This window comes from Homo sapiens (assembly GCF_000001405.40).
Source record: "Homo sapiens chromosome 14 unlocalized genomic scaffold, GRCh38.p14 Primary Assembly HSCHR14_CTG8_UNLOCALIZED".
Lineage (NCBI taxonomy): Eukaryota > Metazoa > Chordata > Mammalia > Primates > Hominidae > Homo > Homo sapiens.
Genome location: NT_187381.1, coordinates 72 through 14,334, shown reverse-complemented (window position 1 = coordinate 14,334; position 14,263 = coordinate 72). Strand labels below are relative to the sequence as shown.

Genomic DNA, 14,263 nt, shown 5'->3' with positions numbered 1-14,263 from the left:
CCCGCGTCTCCCGGACCGCCCACTTCCCGACAGCCCCCGCGCATCTCTGTGGCAGCTGCCCTGGTGCTTCCCGCCCCGCCGCGCCCGCCCACCCAACGGCGCTGTGTCCCGCCGGTAGCTCAGCGGGGACTTCCTTTATGTGGTACAGGGTTGGGCCTGGAGACCCGGATGCCGGCGAGGTCCTGGCTGGGAGAGGCCGCCGCTGCCTTCAGGTTTCCGAGGTGGGTAGAGAGGTTCCCGCTGCTTTGAGGTCAAGGCTCCTCGGTGGCGGCCACAGCAAAGGCTCCAGTGTCCGCCGCAGGGCAGAGGCCGGGCCTGTCTGGGGACCCCCGACTCATCTGAGGCTCAGGGCGGAGGGTTCAGTGAACTGACCTTGCCCCGCTTCTCACCACGCGCCCAGTGTCACTGTATTCAGCCACCACTGCACAAAGGCGTTACAGCTCTGTGCCCTGAGAAGCCCCTCATTCCCTCAGTGACTCCACAGGGAACACCGGGTGGGCCCCTGGATTCACAGCCCTGTAGCACGCTGCCCAAGGGGCCCCCTTGCTCTCCCACCACCCAGAACACCGAGCCCGTTGTCGAGGCTGAACCATCCGCGGGCAGCTGGGACCAGGGAACATGGTGAGGGGCTCACGGCACCTGGCGTGCAGATCCCAGTAGCTGGATGCGGTTCTGCTAATCACTAACAGGCTTGCAGGCTTCCCCAGGAATCCACCCATAAACTTCACAGAACACCGTGTCTGTGAACCACCCAGTATGTGCATTCAGTTTCTAACCTCACTCTGGTCCGGAATCTGCCACCTGCAGGATCCAATTAACAAGAGAGAGATCTGGTACAAAGATTATTGTATTAACCATAATGGTAAAGGGGAAGTGACCGCATTCCCATCCCAAGCAACCACTTGAATTTTGAAGGAAAGGCAGGGGTTTAAAAAAGGAAAAGTTGGTAAGAAAGGCATGCAAGATTTGGGCTGAGAACCAGGTCTGTGCGTCTTGTTCTGGCAGCTCTCTGGCATCCCAGTCCACCTAGATCTTGGGCTGGCATCATCTGGGCAATGCCTGGGTTGTTAACTAGCAACATTGAAGTCACCTCTGGAATTCTGCATCAGGGTCTCCCGACTTTGTCTATCTGTCTCAAATTAGCTTCCGGAACTTCCAAAAAGGCACATAGTTCGATGCAAACATAAAGTTAGATTAATGTGAAGGGAATATTTATGGTGAAAGGGAGAAAGGTGGAGTCTATTTCAAGGCGTAAGAAAATTGATTCTGCTGTTTGCCTCAAGATTATATCTTTACACCCAAGAGAGACAGAAAAGTTTAACCTCTCTTCTGCCACCATGTATGACTGCCTTGCTTCCCCTTTTTCTTCTGCCATGATTATAAGTTTCCTGAGGCGTCCCAAGCCATGCAGAACTGTTTGGTGTGGAGATTACTGAAGAAGGGTTTTACTTACTACTTGACAGAATTCCCCTTGGTGAAGAGGAAATGTCAGCGATCTTTAATTCATGACGATGTTGGATTATTGGCAGTTGGCTCACTAAGGATCCCATGTCCAAGAGCAGGATTCTCCTTCCAAAGTGTGTGTGTGGACTTGAGGAGCAGCCTTTGAAAGATGGGGCCCCTAGAATTTATAGAACTTCCTTTGATTCCTTGGAGGTTTGCAGTCTCCAGGTTGTCTGTCATCCAGGACTTTGACTGTTTGTGTGAAAGAGTGCTTCCTTTTGGGTGAAGAATTCTGTATGAATATCCTAGGGCTGCCAAAATGAAATACTACAAACTGGGTGGCTTAAAAATGACAGGACTGTATTCTCTCACAGTTCTAGAGACTAGAAGTCCAAAATCAAGTGTGAGCTGGGCTGCACTCCCTCTGAGACTCAGGAGACTTCTTCCTTGCCCTTTCCTCACTTGTGGAGGTGACTGGTAATCCCGGACATGCATTGGTTTACTGCTGCACCACTCTGATCTTTGCCTCTGCTGTCATATGGCACACTGTATGTCTCTGTCTCTGTGTCCAAATTTCCTTGTACTTAGAAAGACACCCATCTTCCCACATTGAGGGCCTGCCCTGCTCAAGTAAGACCTCATCTTCACTAATAACATCTCCAGCTACCATATTTCCAAATAAGGATGTGTTCTGAAGTGCTGGTTGTCAGGACTTTGACATATCATTTGGGTACACAGTTTAATACATGACGAACCCCGTTACAGAGCTACCATGTCTAGTGTCTTACACATTTTGTTTGGAGGGGGAGGGTAAAAATAACAATGGACTCCTGTGTGTTGTCTGACGATAGCAATACGAATAGCTACCATGTAATGCCTATTAGTTGTTAGGTACTAAATATTAACTAATTTCATTCTTACAACAACCCTACTTTACATATGAGAAAACTGGGGTACAGGAAGTAACTGGCCCATTGTCCTCCAGTTAGCAGTGGCAGAGACGGTATACAAAGCCAGACTTCCCAGCAGCAGAGGCCGCATACTTAATACCACCCTGCCTTCTGGACAGTCAGGACAAGCAATTATGCCTGTGGTAAACATACTGTGCTGACAAGTAAGGTTACACTTGAAATGTGGCTTACAATGCAAGGTATAGAGATTACAGGCAATTCATGTGTTCTGGTTATTTGTTGCTATTAAGTCTGAATTAAAATGTAAGTGTGACATTTCAGGTTTCAGGGAGTATAAAAAATAATATTAAAACCTCAAATACTAAGTTTAAAATGCATTTTGAAATTAAGCTGCCTGTATATCATTCCCCACTGTCAAATTCCATTTCGTTTCTATGGAAAACATGTGTCATAGTCATTCTGGCTACTTCTTTAGAAAGGGCATAGGTTGTATGTATTGGAAGGGAATCCATTAAACTGGAGTTGGAAATATTCTGGAGTCTCCGGAATTACAGTAGGTGTTCGTTGGAGCATTATGGTGCAAGGACCTAGGAGTTTTTGAGAAGGTCAGTATTACATTCTCACTTAAAGTGCAAGATAGCAATAAAATCCATAGCAACTGAAGATAGCAATGAACAGAATACCAGCTCTACTATATATGAAAGTCTTCCATGTGTTAGGAAGTCAACTAAACCATGCTGTCGCAGGGTCCTGAGAGAGGGCATCCATCTCTAGCAGAAATATGGGTATCTAATGCTTGCATAGCTTGAGTTATATTGTGGGACTAATCTTGTATATATATGCAACATTCAGTGTTCATTAATACACAAGTGTTACCTTTGGCTGTAGTTGCAATACCTAGGGTCATATAGCTTCATAGTGTCACTTGTCAAATCTGTGAGGTTTCTTCAGTAAGAATGATGATGGCATGGTAGGTGTTGTTAAAGGGACTGGTGGTTTGCTTAGCCAGGGCCTCTACTTGCAATTCTAAATCTATGACTGCCACCTGGGGGGAAGAGCTGGCTAGTGGGCAGAACAACTAGGATGTCCGTTTATGAGAACAGTGTCTGTCTTTCACACTTTTCCAGTTGACATAAAGAGAAGGCACTTTGGACAGTTACATCCTGGGATATAAGGTCATATCCAGTTGCTTCGTTTCGTCCAGTTGTAAGGAAAGTAGGGCCAGCCATGAGTGCCACAGGCCTTTAGTTAATCCCAGAAGGAAGAACAGGTTCCACTCTGCAGGCTGGCATTGCCTTGTCATCCAAGCCACATATTAAGGGCTCAGTTACATTGCTGAGGAGGCAACAATTCCATATCATGAGTGACAGTGTAGAGTATGCTGTGGTGTTTCTTCACACATAGCAGTGCTTGACCAATTACTTGGACTCGCACCACTGTCAGCCATCCTACCTCACTGGATATGGCATAGCCTATAGTGGGAGTGATATTAATGAAGTGTCTTCTGTTTTTATAATAGATGGAAAAGATGGCTTCTCCAATGGATGGAAAATCATAAGTTCTTAAGTTGGGAGCTTGTATTATGCCAGGGCAGGCCTATAGTGGAAGAAATGGGTGAACTCTTTACAGAACCAACTATGTTTTCTTTTGGAGGGAAGCCACCATCTTCCACCCATTCAGCAAAAAAGATTAGTTTTAATAAGGAGAAATAATGGACTTATAACTATAGAACTCATTAAGAATTTCATATTAGATCCCATTTGTCAATTTGGACTTTTGTTGCCCTTGATTTTGGTGTTTTAGTCATGAAGTCCTTGCCCATGCCTATGTCCTGAATGGTATTGCCTAGGTTTTCTCCTAGGGTTTTTATGGTTTTAGGTCTAATATGTAAGTCTTTAATCCATCTTGAATTAATTTTTGTATAAGGTGTAAGGAAGGGATCCAGTTTCACCTTTCTACATATGGCTAGCCAGTTTTCCCAGCACCATTTATTAAATAGGGAATCCTTTCCCCATTTCTTGTTTTTGTCAGGTTTGTCAAACATCATATGGTTGTAGATATGCGGCATTATTTCTGAGGGCTCTGTTCTGTTTCATTGGTCTATATCTCTGTTTTGGTACCAGTACCATGCTGTTTTTGTTACTGTAGCGTTGTTGTATAGTTTGAAATCAGGTAGCATGGTGCGTCCAGCTTTGTTCTTTTGGCTTAGGATTGACTTGGCAATACGGGCTCTTTTTGATTCCATATGAACTTTAAAGTAGGTTTTTCCAATTCTGTGAAGAAAGTCATTGGTAGCTTGATGGGGATGGCATTGAATCTATAAATTACCTTGGGCAGTATGGCCATTTTCACGATATTGATTCTTCCTACCCATGAGCATGGAATGTTCTTCCATTTGTTTGTATCCTCTTTTATTTCATTGAGCAGTGGTTTGTAGTTCTCCTTAAAGAGGTCCTTCACATCCCTTGTAAGTTGGATTCCTAGGTATTTTATTCTCTTTGAAGCACTTGTGAATGGGAGTTCACTCATGATTTGGCTGTTTGTCTGTGATTGGTGTATAAGAATGCTTGTGATTTTTGCACATTGATTTTGTATCCTGAGACTTTGCTGAAGTTGCCTATCAGCTTAAGGAGATTTTGGGCTGAGACAATGGGGTTTTCTAGATATAAAATCATGTCATCTGCAAACAGGGACAATATGACTTCCTCTTTTCCTAATTAAATACCCTTTATTTCCTTCTCCTGCCTGATTGCCCTGGCCAGAACTTCCAACACTATGTTGAATAGGAGTGGTGAGAGAGGGCATCCCTGTCTTGTGCCAGTTTTCAAAGGGAATGCTTCCAGGTTTTGTCTATTCAGTATGATATTGGCTGTGGGTTTGTCATAGATAGCGCTTATTATTTTGAGATACGTCCCATCAATACCTAATTTATTGAGAGTTTTTAGCATGAAGGTTGTTGAATTTTGTCAAAGGCCTTTTCTGCATCTATTGAGATAATCATATGGTTTTTGTCATTGGTTCTGTTTATATGCTGGATTATGTTGATTCATTTGAGTATGTTGAACCAAAGAGCTTCTGCACAGCAAAAGAAACTACCATCAGAGTGAACAGGCAACCTACAGAATGGGACAAAATTTTTGCAATCTACTCATCTGACAAAGGGCTAATGTCCAGAATCTACAATGAACTCAAACAAGTTTACAAGAAAAAAGCAAACAACCCCATCAAAAAGTGGGCAAAGTATATGAACAGACACTTCTCAAAAGAAGACATTTATGCAGCCAAAAGACACATGAAAAAATGCTCATCATCACTGGTCATCAGAGAAATGCAAATCAAAACCACAATGAGATACCATCTCACACCAGTTAGAATGGCGATCATTAAAAAGTCAGGAAACAGCAGGTGCTGGAGAGGATGTGGAGAAATAGGAACACTTTTACACTGTTGGTGGGACTGTAAACTAGTTCAACCATTGTGGAAGGCAGTGTGGCGATTCCTCAGGGATCTAGAACTAGAAATAGCTTTTGACCCAGCCATCCCATTACTGGGTATATACCCAAAGGATTATAAATCATGCTGCTATAAAGACACATGCACACGTATGTTTATTGTGGTACTATTCACAATAGCATAGACTTGGAACCAACCCAAATGTCCAACAATGATAGACTGGATGAAGAAAATGTGGCACATATACACCATGGAATACTATGCAGCCATGAAAAATGATGAGACCATGCCCTTTGTAGGGACATGGATGAAGCTGGAAACCATCATTCTCAGCAGTCTATCGCAAGGACAAAAAACCAAACACCGCATGTTCTCACTCATAGGTGGGAATTGAACAATGAGAACACATGGACACAGTAAGGGGAACATCACACACTGGGGCCTGTTGTGGGCTGTGGGGAGGGGAGAGGGATAGTATTAGGAGACATACCTAATGTTAAATGACGAGTTACTGGGTGCAGCACACCAACATGGCACATGTATACATATGTAACAAACCTGCACGTTGTGCACAGGTAGTCTAAAATTTAAAATATAAAAAAAGGATGATTTCCTATATTTCAAATTAAAGGCACAGACAATAAAAGCAGAATTGAACAAGCAGAACTACATCACAACAAAAAGATGCTGCAAAGTGTGGAAGAAATTCCAACCTACAGAATAAGAGAATATAATTACAAGCCGTGCATCTGAAAAAGTGTTAATATCCAAAATATACATGCAACTTCTACAACTCATTAGCAAAATCATAATTGGATGATTGTATAGTGGTCAGTTTTACACCTTAAAACATTTAAGAATATAGATCTCATGTTAAAGATTCTTCCCTCTGGGTAATGGTAAGTTTGATGGTACACTTGGTTAGGGTAGACTTTGTAGTTATTCAATCCAACATTAATATAGGTGATGTTACCGGGCACAGTAGCTCACGGCTTTAATCCCAGCACTTTGGGAGGCTGAGATCAGGAGTTTGAGACCAGCCAGACCAATATTGTGAAACCCAGTGTCTACTAAAAATACAAAAATTAGCTGGACTTGGTGGCCTGCCCCTGTAAGCCCAGCACTTTGGGAGGCTGAGGTGGGTGGATCATCTGAGGTCAGTAGTTTGAGACCAGCCTGACCAATGTGGTGAAACACCGTCTCTACCAAAAATACAAAAATTAGCCGGACATGGTGGTGTGTGCCTGTATTCCCAGATACTGGGAGGAGGCTGAGACAGGAGAAATGCTTGAACTCTGGAGACAGAGGTTGCAGTGAGCCAAGATCATGACATTGCACTCCACCCTGGGTGACACAGCGAGACTCCGTCTCTCTCTCTCTCCCTCTCTCACTATATATATAGTTATGAATTTACTTAACAGATGATATTAATACTGTCATCAGTTGACTCTAGGTTAGGTAGATTGTCATTGATAAAACGGGTGTGCCTGATTCCATCAGAGCAGAACTGGAGAAAATGAAATTCCACGATGATTCAGCAGCTTCGCCTCTCTCTGGGACCTCCAGTCTGCACTTATTGATGGCTGATCTTATGGACATTGGATATTCCTAGACATCTCCAAAAACTGTCATCCTCTATGTCTCACAGAAAAGTGGCATGTCCGTCTGTAGCTTGTCATGTCAACCTGAATAACAGACAGAAAGAGACTCTAAAGCATAATAATATTTTTTCTAGGATGTGCGTTTCAATTAAAATATGTATGGGTACATTCAGGTAGGAAAAGGAAGATAGAGAATTAAGGAGAACATGTGGACACAGGGTGGGAAACATCACACACCAGGGCCTGTAGGGGGGTTGGGGGAAGGGGGAGGGACAGCATTAGGAGAAATACCTAATGTAAATGATGAGTTAATGGGTGCAGCAAACCAACATGGCACATGTATACATATGTAACAAACCTGCACTTTGTGCACGTGTACCCTAGAACTTAAAGTATAATTTAAAAAATAATAAAAAAGAGAATTAAGGAAAAATGAGGAGGGTGACAGCAGCTATTTTGAGATAGCGGTGTAAGGTTGAACAGGCAGTTGCAGGGCAGATTTACTTGGAGAAATAAATCTTTTAAGGCTGTGGTGGCCTCTGTGTAAAAGGTTGTGGCTGTGCAGAGTCTATTTATGATAGTTCTTCTTATCAGGAATATGTGTGTTAGAACCCTCCTTCATGGCCTTCCCCAGCTTCATTCATTAGGGTTTTAACACAAGGGGATCCATTTTGTTGCCGATAAATTTCACAAGCTCTTTCTAACACTACTTCTGAAGAAGATGACTCTGACAGTGTGCATAGAACAGGGTTAATTCCACATCCACATCCCATTTTGATCAAATGAGTTTATCCCCTTCACTATTAATGGCCAGTTGCATTCCCAGATGTGTCTACACACAACACAGAGGAGGGTCCTGAGAATATGGGGAGAGAAGGAAATCCCATCAGCCCCTCCCATGTGACTGCAGTAGCCAAGCCTGAGCCTTGCCTGAGTTCTAAGAAAATGCCTTGAGCCCTGGAGTGTAGACCACAGAGACCATGTGTTTCTTTTTCAGGAAGAAAGAAAAGCAAATAAAAAAGGGAAAACAAACACTCCAAAGAAAGAACATGTATTGGGAGCAAAAGGAGCACCAGATCAGTGCTGATGCGGATTGGCTTTAGGGTCAGGAGAAGGGTCAGACTTGAACCCTGTGAGCTCCTACAGGACACTGACCCTGGCTCAGCCTCTCTATTGGCTGTGATCAGAATCCCTGCCGTTCTAGTCCAGGAGTCTCCCTGAGGTTTCTGTCCTGGGCCTGAATGGAGGAGACTCATCAGGCACCCATGAGCTTCCTCAGGACTGCGATCCTGGTGACAATGGTTGAGAACTTTTCATCTTTGTAAACATCAATGTGCATTTGGTGTATGAGAGGTTATGCCCTCATATTAAAATGATCTTTTGAAAATATGTAGAGATGACATTAGGAACCACAGAATTCTAAAATTAGAGAGGTTCATTAGAGAAACTGTTGGAAGAAGATGAAGTCCCACATCCTGACAGGAAACAGCCTCCATCTGCACCTGCCTCCGGGGCTGACTCTGATCAGTGGCTCCTGAGCGCCCCCTGCCGCTGATTTCCCCCCAGCGTTCCTGCAGGGAGGTTTGTGTCTGGGCACACAATGACCTCCCCTCACTGTGTCTTTCTTACAGTAATACACAGCCGTGTCCTCAGCTCTCAGGCTGTTCATTTGAAGATGCAGCGTGTTCTTGGAATTGTCTCTGGAGATGGTGAATCTGCCCTTCCTGGAGTCTGCGTAGTATGTGCTACCACCACTAATGGATGAGACCCACTCCAGACCCTTCCCTGGAGCCTGGCGGACCCAGCTCATCTCATTGCTACTGACGGTGAATCCAGAGGCTGCACAGGAGAGTCTCAGGGACCCCCCAGGCTGTACCAAGACTCCCCGAGACTCCACCAGCTGCACCTCACACTGGACACCTGCAAACACAGAGACACCAAGGTCAGAAACTGCCACACATACCCACTGTTTTGCTCACTCATGTCCACTCACACTCAACATCTGTAGTTCTCCATGAATCATCTTTTAAAATAGCAACAAGGAAAACCCAGCTCAGCACAAACTGCATGATGAGTTCTGTATGTTCAGTCCTGATCACTGAATGAAAACACCTGGGAATCCCAAGGCTGGGGCTCCACTCCCAGAGCTGCAGGGTCAGGGCTGGGCTGGTTTTCATCAGGAGAGGGAAGGCCCTATTTGCATGTCTCCTACTACATAGCAAGCTCAGGGGTGGGACGCCTGAGGAGAGGGCAGGGCCAAGAGCAGATGAGAGCGTCCTGGGGGATTTTGGTGACAATGATTGTATTTGGGAAAATGCTGCCTTATTTTGAAATTGTTCTGTGATAAACATTTAACAACTATCACATTTTTAATTATTTTTACCTATGTGTATAAATTATGTTATTTAAGAGTCAGTGGTTTCTTCATTTACAGATGTAAAAGTGAACCTACACGTGGAAGGGCTATGTATGTGTTCATGGGTTTATATCTGGCATGAGTGAGTCCCAGTATCTGGGCCTATGCTCCTCACAACTGGCCTCAATTGCTCTCTGAACCAACTCTAGGACAGAGCTAAATGGGCCTAGTGTGGTTTGCAGAATCCACTTCCTGTCATGAGAACCTGTGTAATTTTCCTGCATTTACCTAAAAATACAGAGACAACTAGGCGTCAGGCAGATAAATATTTGGTGTATATGATATTTAACATATTTATTTGTTCCTTCCTATCATCCCTTTTTTGTCTAAGTTTTTAGCTGTTTACTTGCAATAAATTTTATGAGTTTTAATTGACAGATAATAAAATTCACATATTTACCCTGTACAATAGTAAACTTTGAAAAAAATCTCTATTTTAAAGAAGGTGACAAGTCAACTCTCCTCAGCATTTCTCTTGGTCTATTATTTTTTTTGGTTTTTCTCCTTCCTTCTTCTACCATTTCCTTATAAAACTACTGATGTTTTCATATTTCTTTATACTAGCTTTTATTTTCTAGAATTTATAAGAATGAATAATATGATATGTACTGTTATCTATTTGGCTTATTTTTCTCAATAGAAATAGTGGAAATTAAACCTTTTATGTTGTATGTGTTTCTCATAAATACTGGGTAGCATTTCAGCAAACAAATGTAGCATAATTTGTTTTTCTATTAAGTTGCTAATTGGTATTTGAATTATTCATTACTCTGGGTCTTAATAATAAATATGCTACTCAGTTTGGTAATGTGCATAGATTATAAATTGTATATAAATTTTATAAATATATTTCTTTTTGCAACAAAAAACAAGAGAATGTGCTATTTGGCAAATTTTCTTTAATATTTCAGATAATGGAAGTTATGCGATAGAAAACAAACCTGTAAACCAAAGAGTATCTGAGACTAATCTCAATAGATTTAGGAAGTTCATTTTCCAAGATTAAGGACATGCCAGTGACACAGCCTCAGGAAGTCCTGACGACATGTGCCCAAGGTGGCAGAACACAGCTTGGTTTTATACAATTTAGGGAGACACAAGACATTAATTAATATATGTAAGATGTATACTGATTTAATTCAGAAAGGCAGGACAACTTGAACTGGGGAGAGAGCTTCCAGATCATAGGTAGGTATGAGACAAATGCATTCTTTTGAGTTTCTCATTAGCCTTTAACTAAATGTGCAATTAAAGGAATATTCACGTAGGCCTTAGTCTGGCTTAGCAAAGCAGTAGAGCAAAGGTAGCAATCAGATATGCATTTGACTTATGTGAGCAGAGAAATGACTCTGTCCTTGGTCCACAAGGGTTCTTCTTTGGGTCAAATTTTGAAGGAGGTGTGTAGCTTTTTAAAACCTTAGTAGCTATCATTTTAGGGAAAAAAATGGAGATGGGTTTGCCCCAAACAGTTTTCAGCTTGACTTTTCCCTTTGGCTTAGTGATTTGGGGGTCCCAAAGATTTCTTTTCCTTTCACAAACATGGAAATCTTGGGAGAAACAAGTTCCTGTAGAGAGAAACAAAGCCACAGTGTTAGCTAAACTGAGGCAAGAAGCTGCCACATGACATATAGAAAGATAAAGCTACAAGATAAAGCTACAAACGTGTTGGATTGCTTAAATTCCAGTGTGGTAAACGTGTTGCAGTGTGAAATTCTCAGGAACCATATGCTGAAGGGCACTGATAAAGTGAATTAAATATGGCCTGAGAAGGACTCCCTACTTCTTTGTTTGAATCCTTGTGGACCAACTGTAACCTACCTGAATAGGGGGACAAGGTTGAAAACCTAACTTAGGAGTACGCACCTGTAACAATAGCTGAGCCTTGGCCAATTCCAGCAGCCATACCTTAACCACTCATACACTCTTGAGTGTTCAAACTGTGTTTAAATAGACAAACACCCACCTGTAACCAATCCACCTTTTTCTGTACCTCACTTCTGATTTCTGGACATCGTTTTTAAAAAAATATATTAATCTTCTTCCACAACGTGGCTGCACTGAAGTCTCTTTGAATCTGCTGTGATTGGGGGTCTGCCTGATCCATGAATCATCCATTGCTCAATTAAACTCCTTTAAATTTAATTTGGCCAAAGGTTTTCTTTTATCAGCATTCCTATCCAGTTGAATCCCTTTGTTCTAGAATGGGGACAATCAGAATAATCTTCCTTTCCCAAAGTGTCTTTCTGAGAGAGAAGGAGAACCCATACTTCTGAAATGCAGTCAGACCAAATCCCTCATTAGCACTACAGAATCAAGGAGTTATCTACCCTGCAGGGGCAAGCCACTGAAACCATGCTTCCACAGGCACTTGTGGAGCCCCAGAGGAAATGAAATCAAAACAGAGGTTCTCACCAAAGTTCCATGGAGCTGTACCTCCTCTCGGTCATGGAAACAAATCCTTAACCTGCAGGGCATGGCAATACAGAAGGTGATGATAACAGTGGAGAATATTGGAGCTGTGGGAGGGAAGAACTGAGAAAAACAGGAGAAAATATACATATTTAACTCTGTAGACTTCAAGCTATTTACATTAATTAGGAGGAATATTTCATAGCTAAAGACCTGATCTAGCATGAGAAATACTAGAGAGATGACACATGGAGAATGCCACAGTGGGAAGCTGAAGTTCAAGTTCTGATGTTTGTTTACTGATATTTGTCTCCTGGCATGTCCAGAACTTTATGAGTACAGAACTCTTCTAATAGAGAAACAGACTCTCACAGGACATGGTCCTCAAAATGATCTCACCTTCAAATGGAACATTAACAACCTCTACATTTTTTTGGGTTTTGCCCTCTGCAGGTTGAATTCTGGGCATGAGTGTGTCTCTCAGTATTTGCACACATTGAATTGATAAAATTATTTTTGTTCTACATCTTCCAACTATTAAGATATATGAAAACTCTAAAATTTTCTTTTTTCAAGTTTGGTTCTCATTGACTCATTGGGTTAATTTTTTTTTCAGAAATAAAAATGAAGCCTCACTATTTTTCACAGGCTGATCTCAAACTCCTGGGTTCATGTAATCTTCCAACCTCAGCCTCAAATTTCTCAGATTATAGGTGTAAGCCACTGTGTCTTAATTACTTTTTTTAACTTTTTAATTGCATTTTCGTTTTGAAATAAGTGTAATTCAGGTGCTGGAAAATTTTTCTCCTCAGACTCCTCTGCAGCAGCTCCAGGGCTGACATCTGTGTTGAGTGGGCTCTGGGCTTGCCCTGCCGCTCTGCCCTCACCCTGCAGAGGATGCTGTTTGGGCTCACAGAGCATATTCTCCCAATGTCGCTCTCTCACAATGAAGGGGCTGTCCCCTGATTCAAAATGCTCTTTCAGCAGCATCTTATGTTTTGAAATTGTCTCTTAAACAGTGATTTGGCATCACTATACCCAGTAATCTGCAGGGGGAACCCAAGCACAGATTTTATGAAACCACCAGAGAGTCTCTTCCCTGGGACTGTCAGATGCAATGACACAGTCAAGATCATTGGTGAGTCCAGAAATTTTCACAGAATTCATAGGAGACTCTTATTTATTTTAGAATTCTCTATTCAAAGGTCACGCCAAATCGTATCTTCACAGAGAGAACGACATGGCTTAAAGCCCACAAAAATTAAAGCACACATGTACACACACACACACTCACACATGCACGCACAGTGGTATGGCTGAGTTTTACAGTAACTGGCTCCTAATTTGGCATCTTTCCTAGTGCAAATCAAAGATTTCTGAGACAGATGTCAATCAAATTAAAATTAATTTTGCCAAAGTTAGGACATGCCTGGAAGAAAAGTAAAAGTAATCACAGAAACAGTGTGTGGTCAGTGCCGTTCTCCCAAGGACGGTTTTTAGAGCTTTCAATATATAAAAGGGAAAAGCTGGCTAGAGGGGAAAGAAGGACCGTATGAGAATTTACATGTTGTAATGGAAAAGAAGCACATAGGGAAATAGAAAATTAGGTCGTTCTCCTGCACTGTTTCAAAAATGAACAAATAGTAGCTATCTGTGAAACTATTTAACCTTTTATCTGTAGCTATTTTCTTAGGAATGAAAGGAAAATCAGTTTCTTGCATGACTCATCTTTTAGTTTTTTTTTTCCCCTCATGACATAATGAATTGAAATCACAAGTTTTTATTTTCCTTTCACACTTTCCCCACCTCTTCTTTTTCAAAATCTTTCAGAGAATGTATTTTACTAAAAAAATTTGTCTCTGGTCTCCCGTGCTGTTTTATCTTTCATGGGTAGGACCGATTATTCCTTGATAAATAGGTCCCAGTTTGTTAGGATAGCTCATTTTTACCTATATTTCAAATGCTGTGAAGTCTTGCATCCCATTAATAAAGAAAATAGGGGGAAAGAGAAGTAAAACATATAAAATAAA

The 14,263-nt window shown here is 42.0% G+C and overlaps 1 long non-coding RNA gene across 1 annotated transcript; it reads left to right on the top strand.

Annotated features, from left to right (window-relative positions):
• Nucleotides 1–21: 21 nt before the first annotated feature.
• LOC124905324 (uncharacterized) lies at nt 22–10,632 on the top strand. Its single transcript, XR_007068537.1, has 2 exons — nt 22–221; nt 9,040–10,632. It is a non-coding gene; the product is annotated as an uncharacterized LOC124905324 (long non-coding RNA).
• Nucleotides 10,633–14,263: the final 3,631 nt, after the last annotated feature.